General features: G+C 42.8%; 1 protein-coding gene and 1 long non-coding RNA gene across 2 annotated transcripts in view, besides 1 other annotated feature; both read left to right on the forward strand.

Moving 5' to 3' along the window:
- The window catches only part of INMT-MINDY4 (INMT-MINDY4 readthrough (NMD candidate)), a 140,253-nt gene that overhangs the window by 25,558 nt on the left and 98,951 nt on the right, over nt 1-15,744 (forward strand). Inside the window, exons 4-7 of the long non-coding RNA NR_037598.1 lie at nt 740-859; nt 4,285-4,520; nt 8,057-8,300; nt 13,473-13,882. This is a non-coding gene — a long non-coding RNA (INMT-MINDY4 readthrough (NMD candidate)). The remainder of the gene's footprint in view (nt 1-739; nt 860-4,284; nt 4,521-8,056; nt 8,301-13,472; nt 13,883-15,744) is intronic.
- The window catches only part of MINDY4 (MINDY lysine 48 deubiquitinase 4), a 120,971-nt gene that overhangs the window by 6,276 nt on the left and 98,951 nt on the right, over nt 1-15,744 (forward strand). Inside the window, exons 2-5 of the mRNA NM_032222.3 lie at nt 740-859; nt 4,285-4,520; nt 8,057-8,300; nt 13,473-13,882. Of these exons, the coding sequence (NP_115598.2) occupies nt 740-859; nt 4,285-4,520; nt 8,057-8,300; nt 13,473-13,882 (1,010 nt within the window). The remainder of the gene's footprint in view (nt 1-739; nt 860-4,284; nt 4,521-8,056; nt 8,301-13,472; nt 13,883-15,744) is intronic.
- Nucleotides 6,318-6,818: an enhancer, noted in NCBI's record as "H3K27ac hESC enhancer chr7:30823626-30824126 (GRCh37/hg19 assembly coordinates)". NCBI's record gives its function as "activates a minimal SCP1, AML or CMV promoter by ChIP-STARR-seq in naive H9 embryonic stem cells {active_cell/tissue: H9 hESC(naive)}" and the evidence as "EXISTENCE:reporter gene assay evidence [ECO:0000049][PMID:30033119]".

Below are 15,744 nucleotides of genomic sequence, written 5' to 3' on the forward strand. Positions count from 1 at the left end.
CACCAGGCTGAGCTGTTGGTGAGGCATGTTCTCAGCCTCCAGCCATTTGACAATCACCATGGCCCAGTGAGGTGGGCAGAGAGCAACTGCTGTGGTTGTTTTTCAAATAGAGAAGCCAGGCACTTGCGAACAGGACCCTCACTTCGCCAACCCCAGATTTTCCATTGCTAGAGCATGTCTCAGCTGGGCCTTGAACCTTGGTCTTCTGGCAGTTCAGGGTGGGATGATGGAAAGTGGCTTTGCTCATGACTTAGCATTTACCAAGAGCTTCTCATGGGCCTGGGTCCCAGAGTCATGGACTCACAGTTTGGGATGGTTACAGCCCCCACCTGTGATGTGATTCCATTGTGTTACATTGGGCAAGTCAACCCCATCTCCTGGTTTCCCCATCTGAGAGTGAAGGGAATGAATATTAGCCTTTTGTTTACATTTTTTCTTTTGTTTAATTTTAAAGCTTCATATACTATGGTTCCAAATGTAGGGCCAAACCCAGGACTCCTGTGCGCGAGTCCTGAACTCACTCCTTATCTGCGAAATGGCCTGAAAACTTCAGCCTTCACTTAGCCCATGGGGCTGTTGTAAGAATCAGAATAATATTAATTATTGCAAAGGTGATGTCAAGTGTAAAGGTTATATGAGAATTATCTTGGTGAACATCAGGAATCGTTTGCTTGTGCTTTATGAGAACAGCGGGTTTTGATTTAAGATGGTAAACAGCGATTCAGCTTTCTTCCCTCAGGGCTTAAAGAAGACATGTGTGACCATGGACCAGGAACGCCCACGCTCTGACCTCAGCATAAACAACAGAAATGATCTTCGAAAGGTTTTGCATCTTGAATTTCTCTATAAGGAGAACAAGGTATGTGCTTTCTAAGGTGTGGTGTGGAGTCTTGGAACTGAGTTTGGCACTGCCAAAGCACTCATGGGCCCTGCCAGTGACAGGAGAGGCTTGAGGTTCTCCTGGCCTGTCACACTTGCGGTCAGAGAGAAACGGACCCCCCAAATGTGGACAGATCCCCAGCGGGAGTGGGTTTTCCATCTCGGTCAGCTGGTGCCGCCCATTGGCGTGTTGTGTGTGTGTGGTTGTCGGGCTCATTTTGAACAGAGCCTGTGGCAGTGCTCAGCCTCCCGCAGTTATTCCCTGTGCTCCCTCCTCCCAACATGAGGCTATTTTTAGTAAGACTGTACTTAAGAATATCGTATCCAGTTATACTAAAATTTTCCATGCCCTGCTTATGTAAGAGTTTCCTTCTTCAGTTCTGAGTAATACCTTAGTCTTGAGTCTCCTGTGACATATAATTTAGGTAGAGGAGGGAATTGGGTTCAGCTAACCCAGGTGCATTAGAGTTGGAAAAGCAAATGGAACTGTGTTTTCTTGGGCGGGAAGGGGGCTTCTCTGATCCCCCAGACTTGATCTCCCCCAACCTGCTATTATAGGCTTTCATGGCACCCTCTAGTTTTCCTGTTTTTGTGTTTATCACATTGGCAATAGAATATTTATGTGATTTTAAAATTAGTATCTGCCCCCCGCCAATACCTTGGACACAGCAGAAGCCAGAAATGCAGTCTTTTTTGTTCACTATTTTATCCCCAAACATAAAGTGTTGTCCGATGGCATAGTGAAATATATTTGTGGAATAAATGAATGAATGACTATACGAATGAATGAAACTACACTTTCTACTTAAATTTTTAATTTGTTATGAAGACAGAAAAAGAATGGGCTGTCCAGCAAATGTTGCTGTGTGGTTGGGCATAGTGTCAGAGTCAAAAAGAAAATGATATAGTTCAGCATTTATCACAATTTTTTAAAAAAGCAATAAAATGATATCTCATGTGGAAGTCCAATATGCAAAGCAAAGAAGGGAAAATGCCCTATTTGAAGTGGGGAAAAGGAGGTCTTGCTTTATCGTCTAGCCTCTCAGCGTCCAGCTTTAAACCACTGATCAATTCCCTTCTCTCAGGAGGGGGAGCTGTGAGCCAGAGAGAGTTGGCTATCCAAGGTCTCACAGTCGGTTACCAGGTAGGGATGAGGCTAGAACCAGGTGTTTTGATTCCCAATTCTATTGTAGGAGTGATGATCAAGCATATTTTAACTGTAATCCTTTTTTCAAATGAGACTTCAGCAGATTGGATTCGTATGGTGGTAGGACCAAGGCTATTTTTTAAGACACCCAGAAGATCCACTGAACCACTTGAAAACTACGCAAGTACATGTCATAGGCCAGGGAGGAACCTATGCCAGGCATCTCTCAATAAAGTAAAGGATGGAATTTCAGGCAAACATATAAACTAAAAACAACTGGCACCTACAGGAGCACTCAGGTTGCCAGAAATTCTCTTGCTCCCCTTTGAGGAGAAGTAGGCAATGGCAGCCCCGTGAAGTCTATCAGAGGCTCAGTGAAGACATCAAATAGAAGGCCTTTGTCCTCTGGGTCCTGGGGTGACATGCAGGCACCTCTGTCTCCTGTCCTGTAGCAAGTACTTTCTAAGTCCTGTGGAAAGACTGGTGACCCAGGCAGCAGATGCTCTGCAATCCTCCGTCTGCTGTATTCTAAGGCAGGAGAGTGGACTGTACACTTTAGGAGAATTTTGCGCAGAGAGTGAGACAACTACCCAGAAAATTCAGTTAACCATTCTGGTTACATTGGGCTTTTAACGTAAATGTACCTTACCTAATTTCCCAAAAGTGTCTTTGACATTCAAGCTATTTTTATTCCCTCATTGTAATATAGTCTCCCTAAAGTAGTTGTTATCTTAAGATACTTAAGATATTTTCATGAGATACTGATAAGTGCCCTGATTTATACAGCAGTTATTAGCTGTTATACAATGAATCGGAGTGTATATTTTACAGGAAAATTACTCATTAATATCTACTACATAATAATTTTGACATTCATTCAGCACAAAGCTCGCCTGATTCCAGGAAAGCCCTGCAATTTAATGTTAATATTTCTAGTAACTTGTTCTAACCTCTTAGGTATAGGATAGATAAAAATGCCTATGTAAATTGAGATTTTGAAAAACAATATCTAGATTCATATAAAGGCTGTGTCTGTTGTGAGCCAAGTGATGTGAAAAAGCATAAGGGATAGTCAGGCAATTCAGGGGCTTAAGTCTCTCTTACTGAGAGAAAAAGCAAGAAGGCTACAATAAATATAGGATCTTTCCCCTAACTCTCTTTATTGTAAGCTTCATTTAATCTTAGACAAAATAGTTTTTGTTTTTAATCTCTTACTGAAAAGAATAGTAAAACTGTCCCGGGTTTTGTCTGATGAATCTGTTGAGTTTGGTTGTAGTCCATGGGCTGTGGGTCTTAGTCCTGGAGTCCTGCTGCATGGATGAGAGGAGTAGGAAGGGGGAGGACTTGGCATGCCCTGAGGGCCTGCTCTGCCAGACTCCTTGTCAGGTGCCTGGCTAGTCTGCAAAATCACAGAGTGCCCCATGTCCAGCCACGGCTCGGCAAGACTGGGTGTCACTGGGCGAGTGGGTTGGGGACTGACACATGGCTGGGTCCCTGAGGCCAGCCTGCATATTGCTGCATGCATAGCTGTGTTTATCCAAATTACTTAGGGGAATTTAAATCCTTGCTGTTGTGGTGTAGTAAGTGTCAGTAAGGTGAGAGAATCTGTATTTTTAAAAAACATCCAAAGGGAATATTTGATATAGGCAAGGATGGAAAATACTGGTATCGTTTAATTCCAAAACCTACTACTGAAGACTTTCATTTGCCTTTTGTTTTTAAGGTTGGGGTGTAAAGTGAGTCAGTCCTGACTGCCTCTCTGTGCTCTTCACATTGACCTGCTTCAGTTGTCTCTATCATCGCTGGTGTCAGTGTTAGATGCAGAGCTTACAAGCTAAAAAAATATTCAGGCTGCAAATACTTATGAATCTGTAGGGTTAGTGTTCCCTACAGACTCCGTTTTTTAAATGAAGGGATATATATTTTATAAAGTTATTCCTTGGAGCAAAAAATGAAGAGGAAATTTGCTTAGGCATGCCTCTATTCCTATCACATTTTATTCTAGTTGTTTATTGAATCACCTGCCTCATGCGTTGGATGCTAGTTCTTTTAGGGTAGAGATTTTGTTTTTGTCTCTGTGTCCGTACCCAACATAGTACCTGACATATATAATATGTGGCCAGTAAATGTTGGCTGAAAGCTTGTATGAATGAGTGAGAAGTTGATAAACTTAGTCAAAGAAGTGGAATAGTTGTCTTTTCCACTCTTCCCTGAAGCTGTATATAAATTAATGATTTTTTTTTCTCTCCCAATGATAGGCAAAGGAAAATCCTCTAAAAACAAGCCTTGAACTCATCACCAGATACTTTCTGGATCACTTTGGAAATACGGCTAACAATTTCACTCAAGATACCCCAATCCCTGCACTCTCAGTTCCAAAGAAAAATAACAAAGTGCCATCAAGATGCTCAGAGACTACACTGGTAAATATATATGACCTTTCAGATGAAGATGCAGGATGGAGAACATCATTGTCAGAAACAAGCAAAGCCAGGTATCTTTTCCCATTATTATGTTTATTAGTTTCCTATTGCTGCCATAACAAATTACTATGTACTTCATGGCTGTTTCAGTCAGTATTCTCCAGAGGAACAGAATCAATATAGTCTCTGTGTGTGTATGTTTGTGTGTGTGTGTGTGTGTGTGTGTGTGTGCATGTATCTATATGCATATGTACCTGTATGTATACATAAAGAAGTTTGGCCAGGTGCAGTGGCTCACGCCTGTAATCCCAGCACTTTGGGAGGCCAAGACAGGAGGATCATTTGAGGCTGGGAGTTCGAGTTCAGCCTGGATAACATAGAGAGACCCTGTCTCTACAACAACAACAAAAAATTAGCTAGAGGTGGCAGTGTGCACATATAGTCCCAGCTACTTAGGAGGCTGAGGCTGGAAGATCACCTGAGCCCAGGAGTTCAAGGCTGCAGTGAGTTATGATCACACCACTGCATGGTAGCTTGGGAGATGGAGTGAGACCCTGTCTCTTAAAAAAGAAAAAAAAAAGTTTATTTTAAGGAGCTGGCTGATGGGACTGTAAGGGCTGGCAAGTCTGAAATCTGTAGGGCAGGCTGGAAATCTGGAAACTCAGACAGGATTTTTATGTTACAATCTTGAGCAAGAATTTATTTGAGAAACATCAGATTTTGCTCTTAAGGCCTTCACCTGATAGGATGTGGCCCACCCACATCATTGGGATAATCTGCCTTACTTAAAGTCAACTGATTGTAAATGTTAATCACATTTACAAAATGCCTTCACAGCAACAGCTAGATTGATACTTGACTAAACAATTGGGTACCATAGCCTAGCCACATTTTTAATCCTCACAGTAGTTAAAGCAATACCAATTTATTCTCTTACAGTTCTGGAGGTCTGAAGTGTAAAATCAGTCTCACTAGACTAAAGGCAAGGTGTTAGCAGGCCTGGTTCTGTCTGGAGGTTCTGAGGGGAAAATCCATTTTCTTTTCTTTTTTAGCTTCTAGAGGCCACCTATGTGCCTTGACTCTTGGCCCCTTCTTCCATTTTAAAGGACATCACTCTAGCCTCTGCTTGTGTTGTTACATCTCCTAACTTTACTACCTTTGATCCTCATGTCTCCTTCTAAGAAGGACCCCTGTGATTACATTGGGCCCACCAGATAATCCCATTTTAAGACTCCGAATTTAATCACATCTGCAAAATCCTTTTCACTGTGTAGCTAGCCCACTTACATAGTTAACCAAAAATGGGTTAACCCACTTATGCCTAGTGTTCCATTATTGGAACACTAAGCATGAGGGAGTTATTTATATCCTACTGCTCAAGGTCATTGCCAAGGTCTGATTTTTCACTCATGCAAAAATTTAAAAAATTACAACCTCTGGCATAAATGAATTAATAGATTCTGGGGATCAGGATGTGAAAATCTTTGGGGGGGTCACTATTCAACTTCCCACGCTTTGTGTTTTCAAAATCTCTGCTGTGAAGTGCTGTTATTTTCCTGTTGAGGCTGTGAGAATGGACTACTTTGTGATGAAGAGTAGTTACAATTCACTGTTTATTTTAAATTCCATGATCGTAAGGTTCAAGCACTTGCTTTATTTGATTTTCGTAAAAACAGGGGTATGGTATTCTAAAAGGCAACAGAACACTGCAGAGATGGGAAAAATCTGGAAAATAAGCTCTTTTAAAAATCTTATAAAGAAAATGAATTGGCATTCTTGATTGAACCTCTATTATCTGGAAAACAATGACATTAAATTATGACCTTAAGACACTGCAGTCCCCAGTAGTGAGCTTAACTTCCTGGGAATGGGTGCTTTCTTCTGGTTCCATTGAAAAGCACTTCCTTTCCTGAGGGTCGCTGAAGCTCAGGGTATGGGTGTCGAGCTGCCAAAAGGTGGCACCATGACAAGCAATTAGCACAAGGATTCAGAGGTGGAGGTTCATAAGGGGCTATGAAGAAGCTCTTCCTCCGAGGCACTTACTACCTGGCTGGGAAGTGAAATACTTCTGGTACAATAAAAAGGCAACTAGGAAGTTGAAGCTCCTGAGTCCCACCCAGTTACCCAAGCCAAAAATTTGGGTGTTCTTGCCTCCGCCTCGTCCGTCATCTTCTGCATCTGTGAGTCCTGTGAGCTCTTCACCCAGAGTGATAGTAGGCACTTTCCTTCTTTCCTCCTTTCTCTGCCCACCGGCGAGGGCCTCAGTTCACACTCCCATCCTCTTTTCCTGGTTAATTCCCACAGCCCCTCCCTGGTCTCCAGGGCTCTAGTGATCTTCCCCTCAAATCCGCCCTTGCCCTAAGATAGCGTGAGCTTTCCACGAAAAGAGTCTGGCCATGCCGCTATCCTGCCGAAGGGCTTCAGACGTTCCCTGCAGCTTTCATGGTAAACTCCTTAGAATACAAGCCCCGGCTGCTCCCCTGAGCACATTCTGCCTTAGAGGCCTGCGTGCTGGGGCTGGGCCTTCTGGGGACCTCTTGCTGCCTGGTTCTCTCAGACTCAGGTGCTGCCTTCTCTGGGAGCCCTTCAGAATTTCCCCAGGCTGGTTCCAGCCTCTTCTCTGCCTGACATGCCGCAATCACAAGGCTGGTTCCAGCCTCTTCCTCTGCCTGACATGCCACAATCACAGCACACACGACTGCCCCTCCCACATGTGACCCAGTGCCTGGTAAGCAGCTTGGCATAGGGTAGGGGGCAATACCCATTTATGGCAGAGCCCAGTGGTAGAAAATAGCTGAGCCTGTGTCACAGGAGTGCTGGCTTCTGGGTGATCAGAGGTAAGATTCCCCTTTGCCTAGGTCTCTCACTTTGTCTCGTGGGCTCTCTCTTGTTCTTTCTCACTCTGTGCTTATTCTCACTGTCTCTTGCCTTCTTTTTTTTTTTTTTTAATTGATCCACACTTTATTCAATGGTGTGCCCAACACAGTCTCAGAGACAAAGAGCAGTCTGAAATTTCCAGATGCTTTGGTAGGTCAGAAGCACATGCCATCCACCCTCTTACACTCCGCTCAACTCCCCTCACCTTCTTTTGTTCTTTCTTGCTCTCTTACTTCCTCTCTCTCTCTCTGACACACACACACACACACACACACACACACACCCATTGGCACACCTGACTTCAGCTTTAGCTGAACAGTGGGGAATGCCAAGTTTGCTATGGGTCTTCTCCACGCCTCTCAGTGGTGTGCGGCAAGGCTGGGCTTCGCATACCGCATGACTGTACTGAAAGGTTATAGTTTTCCTTAATCATTCAGGTCTGGAAGACTAAGGATGCTCTTTAGTCTTAAGGACTTGAGGGGTCCTGTTATGGATCATCATCTCTGAATTTGTTTGCTTGTTTACTGGTCTTATTTTATAGGGCAGACTTGCCTTGATACCAGAGTATTTTCTGTTCCTTGTCTTTCATGATAACGCACTGGCTGGTTAGAAGTCATCATAGATTTATTAATGGGCTTGCTTTGAATGCACATTGAATGTGGAATTTGCTATCTTTGTTACTGATTCCTTTTGGGGAGTCTGTTTTAATGGAAATATTCCTTTTTCACAGACATGACAATCTTGATGGAGATGTACTTGGTAATTTTGTATCATCTAAAAGGCCCCCGCACAAAAGTAAGCCCATGCAGACGGTCCCGGGTGAAACTCCTGTGTTGACTTCTGCATGGGAGAAGATAGACAAGCTTCACTCGGAGCCTTCCTTGGATGTGAAGAGGATGGGAGAGAATTCCAGGCCAAAGTCTGGTCTGATTGTGCGAGGCATGATGTCTGGGCCCATCGCCAGCTCCCCACAGGTGGGGCTGTTGCTCTTTCTGTTGTTATGGGACTGGAGGCTGAGAACTGGGCTGGGCTTAAGGCACGCCTGGGTTTATTTGGGGTACCCCACAGGGCAGTCCGAGAAGAGGGTCTGTGTGTGGGGTGGGAAGAACAGTGCCTCTGTTTTCTCCCTGGCTCTACTGTCAATGACACGTGGGGCCTTGAGCAGGCCTCCTTTCCTGCCCTTAGCTTACCCATTTTGTTTGTGAGGTGGATGCCATGGTTTTCTGTTCCTCTGCTGGGTAAGAATACCTACTCAGCTTTGTCTTTGCAGTTCAGGAGTGGAGAACCTATCCAGGTTCAGAGAGCATCTTTAGGCTGAGTGTGGTGGCTTACACCTGTAATCCCAATGCTTTGGGAGGCCAAGGTGGAAGAATTGCTTGAGCCTAGGAATTTGAGACCAGCCTGGGCAACATAAGGAGACACTTGTCCCACCGCCCCATCTCTACAAAAAATCAAAAAGTTAGGCAGGTGGGGTGATGTGCATCTGTAGTCCTAGCTACTCAGGAGGCTGAGTGGGGAGGATTGCTTGAACCTGGGAGGTTGAGGCTACAGTGAGCTGTGATCATGTGACTGTACTCTGGCCTGGGCAAGACTGAGACCCTGTCTCAAAAAGAAAAAAAAAAAAAAAAAGGAAAAAACAGCATCTTTTAAAATAAATCTAAAACACAATAGTCAAAAGGGGCTAAACCCCCCAAGCCTTATAGTTTCATTTATTCTGCTTTTATTTTTTTCTCTTTCAAAGAAAGATTATAAAAATTTCACATTATTGTTTTATAGTCTCTCTTACAGGGTGACCATGGTAGAATTCCATTAGGCAGAGAGACAAAACAAAATGAGAGACAAATGTAAAAGAAGTTTGTAAAACAACAATCAGAAAAGCAAAACAAAAGCAAACACCAAACTCAAAGTGCCGTATCAGTCAAATCAGGGAGCCTGAGCCAATCAAAAACAGGGTGTCTGTGTCCACCTGCGCTCTCACTTACCTGCTGTATGTTTAGGTGTGGGTGCAGGTGCTGGCACTGTTCTCCCAATTCATTTGGAATTAGGATGGAAAGAAGTGAGTCCTCTCCCTGCCCCTGGCTCTATCTTATGGGGTCTTTGGTCAAGGTTTTTATTTCTCTTGGCTGCAGTCTCTTCTATTAGACCAGCTGTCTAAGGCCCCTTAGGGCTCTGGGATTTCAGTGCTGTCAAGATCATGCAGTCTTGGGGTCCAGATCAAGGAAGAGCCTTCCCGCCACTGTGTAGTTCAGGCCACATCTTGATGTCATACCCCATTCTAGGCCTTCTTGTTGGAGAAGGACATTCATAAACTGAACCCTGTCCAGGGGAAAGGGGCTAGAATGGTGAACAGTTTGGAGGAAATTAAAAGATTTGGAGATGTTTAATCTTGTGGGAGGTTGGCAGAATGTAAGAGATTTCTTCGAATATGGAGGTTGGAATAGCCCATCTCCATGTGAGATAAACTCTATTTGCAATCTTGAGCTTAGTCTGTAAGCCTCCTGAGAGCAGGACACTGTTGTGTTTCTGTGTAGTGCATCATGTGTGCTTGCTGGCACCATTATTGGGTTGAGTGGTGTAGCCTTGCCTAGTAGCTCCAGACAGCACAGCTGGCACCAGTGGATGGAGGTTGGTATGGGAGCCTTCCATTAGTCAGAGCCACCTCAGCAGTGGAAAAGGTTGTTTTGGAAGGGACTCGGCTAGTTATGTAAAAGGGAAGTTAGGTAACCCATCTGCTGGGGACACTGTGGAAGGAGCCCTGCCTGGGTGACAGTTTAGACCACATCAGTGGTTCTTAGACTTTTAGCCTCAGGCTCTCTTTATACTCTTAAAATTATTGTGGAGTGCAAAGAGCTTTTGTTTATGTGGGTGTGTCTATGCTATTTACTATATTTGAAATTAAAAGTGAGAAGTTAAAAATATTTACTTACAAAAATCATTAAAAATAACAGTAGTAAACCTGTTGCATGTAACATGGTATATTTTAATGAAAAAATAACTATATTTTTCAAAACAAAAAATTAGTGACATGAGTAGCATTTTTTTGCAGATCTCTTTAACGTCTTGTTTAGTAGAAGACAATTCAAGCCTCATATTTGCTTTTGCATTCAGTGCGTTGCAATATGGTGTTTTGGTTGAAGTGTATGAAGAAAATCTAGCCTCACACAGATAAGCAGCTGGAAAAGGGAAAGTATTTTAATAGTCTTTTCAGAAAACTGAGATATTTTTCTTTGATACTACACCAAAACTAGACAAGTTGTAGTTTCTTAATGTGAAATCTTAAACCATATCAGTGAACTTTTTGTACCTTATCAGTTTCGCTTGATATGTCTTGCACTTTGAAGTTTTTACCCCTGAATGATTTAGTAACATAATATATTGGCCATTTGGAAAATATTGGTTAGTGAGTTATATAGATCTTCCAAATGTGGACACATCTCATTAGACAAAAAGAAAATCACACCAAAAAATTTCATTCATTGATGTCACCCCCAGCTCATCCAAGAAGTTTTTAAGTATTGCAAAGCTCTCAAGCTCACGGTGGCAGATAGAAGTTTTCCAAAATTCTAATTTTTACCTGACAGCTTGTGTTTTATCACTGACAAAAATACACTATTTGTTTCCCTTGAGGTGACAGGCTCAACTGATTTTCAAGAAAATGCCTGCCAAATACCCACGCTTGAGTAACCATAGTTTGTCTGTCAGTGGTTCCATGAAAAAACCAGCAAGTTCACTCGCAGCCTAGATGGTCGTGCAGTGCCAGCTGCCATCCTCCACGGTCAGCGGAATGCCTGCCGTGTCCCTCCCACTGTGTCACTCAGGGTGTTGAAGAGGTGTGTGCTGGAGAGTCTAAGGGCATAAAATGAATAATTTTTGTGTCAGCATGGACATTCCTCGGTGAAGTCAGCACTTTATTCACCTATTTTCATTGTGAGTGTGTTGGTGGTAAAGAGGGCCTTGGGCACTAGTGGAGTTTGTTGCCATTGCCTTGATTCATGCCTGGGGCCAGCAGTTTTTCCCACTGTTGCTTTGTGCACAAAGTCAACACAGTGGAAAAAGGCAAATTGTGTCATCTTACTACTATGAAAATAGTTTTGAATTCCCTAAAAGGATCTGGGGACTCTTAGGGGTTGGTGGACTACTCTGAGGACCGGTGAACCAGAGAGGAGCGCCAGGGTCCTGTCTTAGCATGACGTCCTGATCATCAAGCGTGTCCAGTGGAGATGCCCTTTATACCTGTGGTGTGAGGGAGATGGCTTGGACCTGCTTCACTGCCAAGGGCATTGCTGCAAACTTCTCCTTTTGGTAATTGTTTTGGGAGGTGGTATCTGAAACCCACAAAGGATGTTGAAGGATGGGTTGCTATAGAATTTCGCCAGATTCTCTAGAAGGGACATTGTGGCCTTTGAGTACCTTGGCCGTACTTATTGGTTGCTCAGGAGAAAAGCTCCAAAGATTGTTGGGTATTTCATCATATTTACTACATCACTTCTGTATTTAAGAATGACTTAAGAGGCTGGGCTCCCTGCAGCAGCTCCAGCTCCCTTCAGCCAGAAGTTTGAGTCTCCTCGGGAATGGTGACTAATGTCTTCCTCACTTTGTGGAGGGGATGTCCTGAGTGGCTTTGGGAGGAGGTTTATAGTGCTTAGTAATGTCTGCTTAGCCAGAACACTACAAAATTAAGGTTTCCTTATTCCAGTCCAGGCTTTACTATTTGGTCTTGGATTATTTCTGGAAATATTGAGAGGTTCAGAATTTTAAACCAAGGAAAAGCCTGGTAGGTCTGTTTTTGTCTCCCCACCCTCCCATTAATAACAACATGAGTTCCCATTTCCTCTACTCATCTTTGACGGTAAGGGAGGATATTTGGATATTTCAATTGACTCCTCTAGAATTCCTTCATTTCAAAAACTAAGCAAATCTTGAGTGCCTGTTAGGTATAGGCTGCTGAGCTGTGTGCTCTGTGAACACCAGAGGCGAATTAAGAATGACCTCTGCCATCAGGAGGGGGTTGAGACCATATGTAAGTGGGCACAGGGCAAATACGCATAGGAGTAGTGAGCGTTTGCTGACTGCTGCAATACGTCTGGCTCTGTGCTAGTGCCTTGCACAGGTCTCATTTCATCCTCCCTACAGTCTTGTTGGGGAGAAGTACTACAGGTGCCTCATCCCTCATCCAAAACCTTTGGGCTGGATGTCTTTTGGAATTTATAATTTTTTTTTTAATTTTGGAAAGGAAGTACAGTGCATGAGCCACATACCACATACTGCCTTTACTAGGGTTTGTGGTAGCACCCATAAGCAAAAAACATGACCATTTCAGCAACTCCATGTATGAATATTCACACTTTAAAAAGACTGTAAGCAGCCTCACAGCAGTTAAGAATTTACCACAGGATTTTAAAAAACCTTTCATTTTCAGAGGTTTTGGGATTTATTTATTTATTTTTTTGAGATGGTTGTCTTGCTGGCCCAGGCTGGAGTACAGTAGTGTGATCTCGGCTCACTGCAATCTCTGCCTCCTGGGTTTAATTGGTTCTGCTTCCACCTCCCGAGTAGCTGAGATTACAGTCATGCACCACCAAGCCTGGCTATTTTTTTGTATTTTTAGTAGATATGGGGTTTCACCACATTGGCAAGGCTGGTCTCGAATTCCTGACCTAAAGTGATACACCCGCCTTGGCCTCCCAAAGTGCTAGGATTACAGGCATGAGCCACCATGCCCAGCCTGGTTTTGGGATTTAGAAATGACAGGTAGTGGATTGTGGACTGGTTATATTACAGGTGAGGAAATCAGGGACAGAGAAGTTAAGCAGCTTGCCACAGGTGACACAGTTGGTAGGTGGTGATGCAGACTGGAGCGACGGCTTCACCTGCTGCATGAACCTGCTCTCTGTAAGGGCTGCGAGAGAAAGGCCCAGGCCTGCTCTGAGGTTCCAGCAGGCGGGGTGTGCATCACTGAAAGCCCAGAGGTGGGAGCATTTGAGTAGCTCCTTAAATAATAGGCAAGATTTTAAGGGAAAGAGTCCGAGGTGGGAAAAGACATTCCTGGGAGAGACATCACATCATGGGCAAATGCTTGAAGTGGGATCTTTGTTTTCCAGCTCCCCTCAAAGGGTCCTCACTGCTTTTGTCCTTACTCCCTTTAGGATTCTTTTCACAGACACTATCTGAGACGGTCCTCACCGTCAAGCAGCTCCACCCAACCCCAAGAAGAGAGCCGGAAGGTCCCTGAGCTCTTTGTCTGCACCCAACAGGACATTCTGGCTTCGAGCAACAGCTCCCCCTCCAGGACCTCCCTGGGTCAGCTTAGTGAACTGACCGTAGAAAGGCAGAAAACCACTGCCAGCAGCCCTCCCCATCTGCCCAGCAAACGGCTGCCCCCATGGGACAGGGCCAGGCCGAGGGATCCCTCCGAGGACACCCCAGCAGTGGACGGCAGCACAGACACGGACAGGATGCCCTTGAAGCTCTACTTGCCTGGTGGTAATTCCAGGATGACCCAGGAGAGGCTGGAAAGAGCGTTCAAACGGCAGGGCAGCCAGCCCGCACCTGTCAGGTGAGTGTGCTATGCAAAGGTGACGGCTTTTCAAAAAGAAGCTCCACCTCTCACATGTTGTCTAGTCCCTAATGGCTCCGAAGGGAACTTCTTAGTCTCCTTGGTCTCTCAGAACAAGCCTGCGAAGTAACCGGCAAGGTAGAGTTTGTTATGGTCAACCAGGAAGAAAACTCAGCCAGAGCTCACACACCTGGAAAGCTGAAGAATGCTCTAGACAGGGGTGTCCAACCTTTTGGCTTCCCTGGGCCACATTGGAAGAACAATTGTCTTGTGCCACGCATAAAATATACTAACAATAGTTGATGAGCTAAAAAAAAATTGCAAAAAAAACTCAATGTTTTAAGAAAGTTTATGAATTTGTGTTGGGCTGCATTCAAAGCCATCCTGGGCTGCATGTGGGCTGCGGGTTGGACAAGCTTGCTTTAGCAGATGGTCCCAAAACATACCTGCAGCAACATGGCCAGGCAGACGTGGCTAAGAGTTTCTTGTGGGAAGCCAGAGATACAGTGATGAATCAGCTCCCACAAGGCTCCCTTTGGGCATTATTTCTATTTTATTTTATTTTTCATCCTATCCTTACTTTTATTCTTTACAATAAGCCTTAATGATTCCTACATTGATTGATTTCTGAATGTTAAACCAACCTTACATCCTAAGAATAAATCCCACTTGGCTATGATATATTATCTTTTTATATATCATTGGATTTGACTTATTAATATTTCGTGTAGGGGTTTTGTGTGTAGGTTTATGAAGAAGATTGGCTGGCAGATTTCCTTTCTTGCAACAGCTTTGTCAGATGCTGATACCTAGGTTATGCTAGAAGTGGTCCCTCTTTTTCTATCCCCTTGAAGAGTGAGTGTAAGATTGATGTGATTTCTTTCTTAAATATTTGGGAGAATTTACTGGAGAAATTTTCTGTGCATTAAGTTGAAAGGTGTTAAATTATGTGTTCAATTAAAAACTTTTTAATTCAAATTTCAACTTTCTTCTTGTGTAAGTTTTGGCAAGTTGTATTTTTTCAAAGAGTTTGGCCACTTTATATGTGTGTTTTAAATTTATTGGTATAAAATTGTATAATTATATTATCCTCTTATTATCACTTTGAAGTTTGTGAGATCTGTAGTTATGTCTTTGTTTCATTCCTGTGATTGGTAATTTATGTTCTTTCTCTCTTAACTAGTCTCACTGGGAATTTATCATTTGTGTAATATACTCAAAGAAAACTTTTGGCTTTATGTTTGTTTTCTATTTCATTGACCTCTGCTCTTATTTTTATTATTTTCTTCATTCTATTCTCTCTGAGTTTAATTTGCTATTATTTTCTAGTTTACTGATTCTCAGCCTTCTTCTTTTGTAATATGTTTTAAAGCTGCAAATTTCTCTGTAAGTAATGTTTTGTCTGTATTCCGTAAGTTAATACGTTACATATTCGTATAACTTAGTTAATATATTTTCTAATTCCCATCGTGGTTTCTTTTTTTTTTTTAACCCATGGGTTATTTAGGCATGTACTACTAATTTCATACATTTAGGGTTTTTTTTGTTTATATTTATATATATATTATATATATTGTTTATTTAATTGTTTATATATGTATTATTCTTTATGATTGCAATCCTTTGATATTTGCTGAGATTTCCTTCTAGTATATAGTTAAAGCCTATCTCTGATAAACAGCATGTATTTGGAACTTTAAATCCAGTCGATAATTTTTTATTCTAGTTGGAATAATTATGGCATTTATATTTTCTTTTTACTCGAATAACTTCCTTTAGTATTTTTTTTTAGCAGGTATGTTAAATTTTTTTTTCTAGTTTTTATTTGGAAATGTCTTTGGTTTGCTTTTTTTTTTTTGGAG

This window comes from Homo sapiens, chromosome 7, assembly GCF_000001405.40.
Source record: "Homo sapiens chromosome 7, GRCh38.p14 Primary Assembly".
Lineage (NCBI taxonomy): Eukaryota > Metazoa > Chordata > Mammalia > Primates > Hominidae > Homo > Homo sapiens.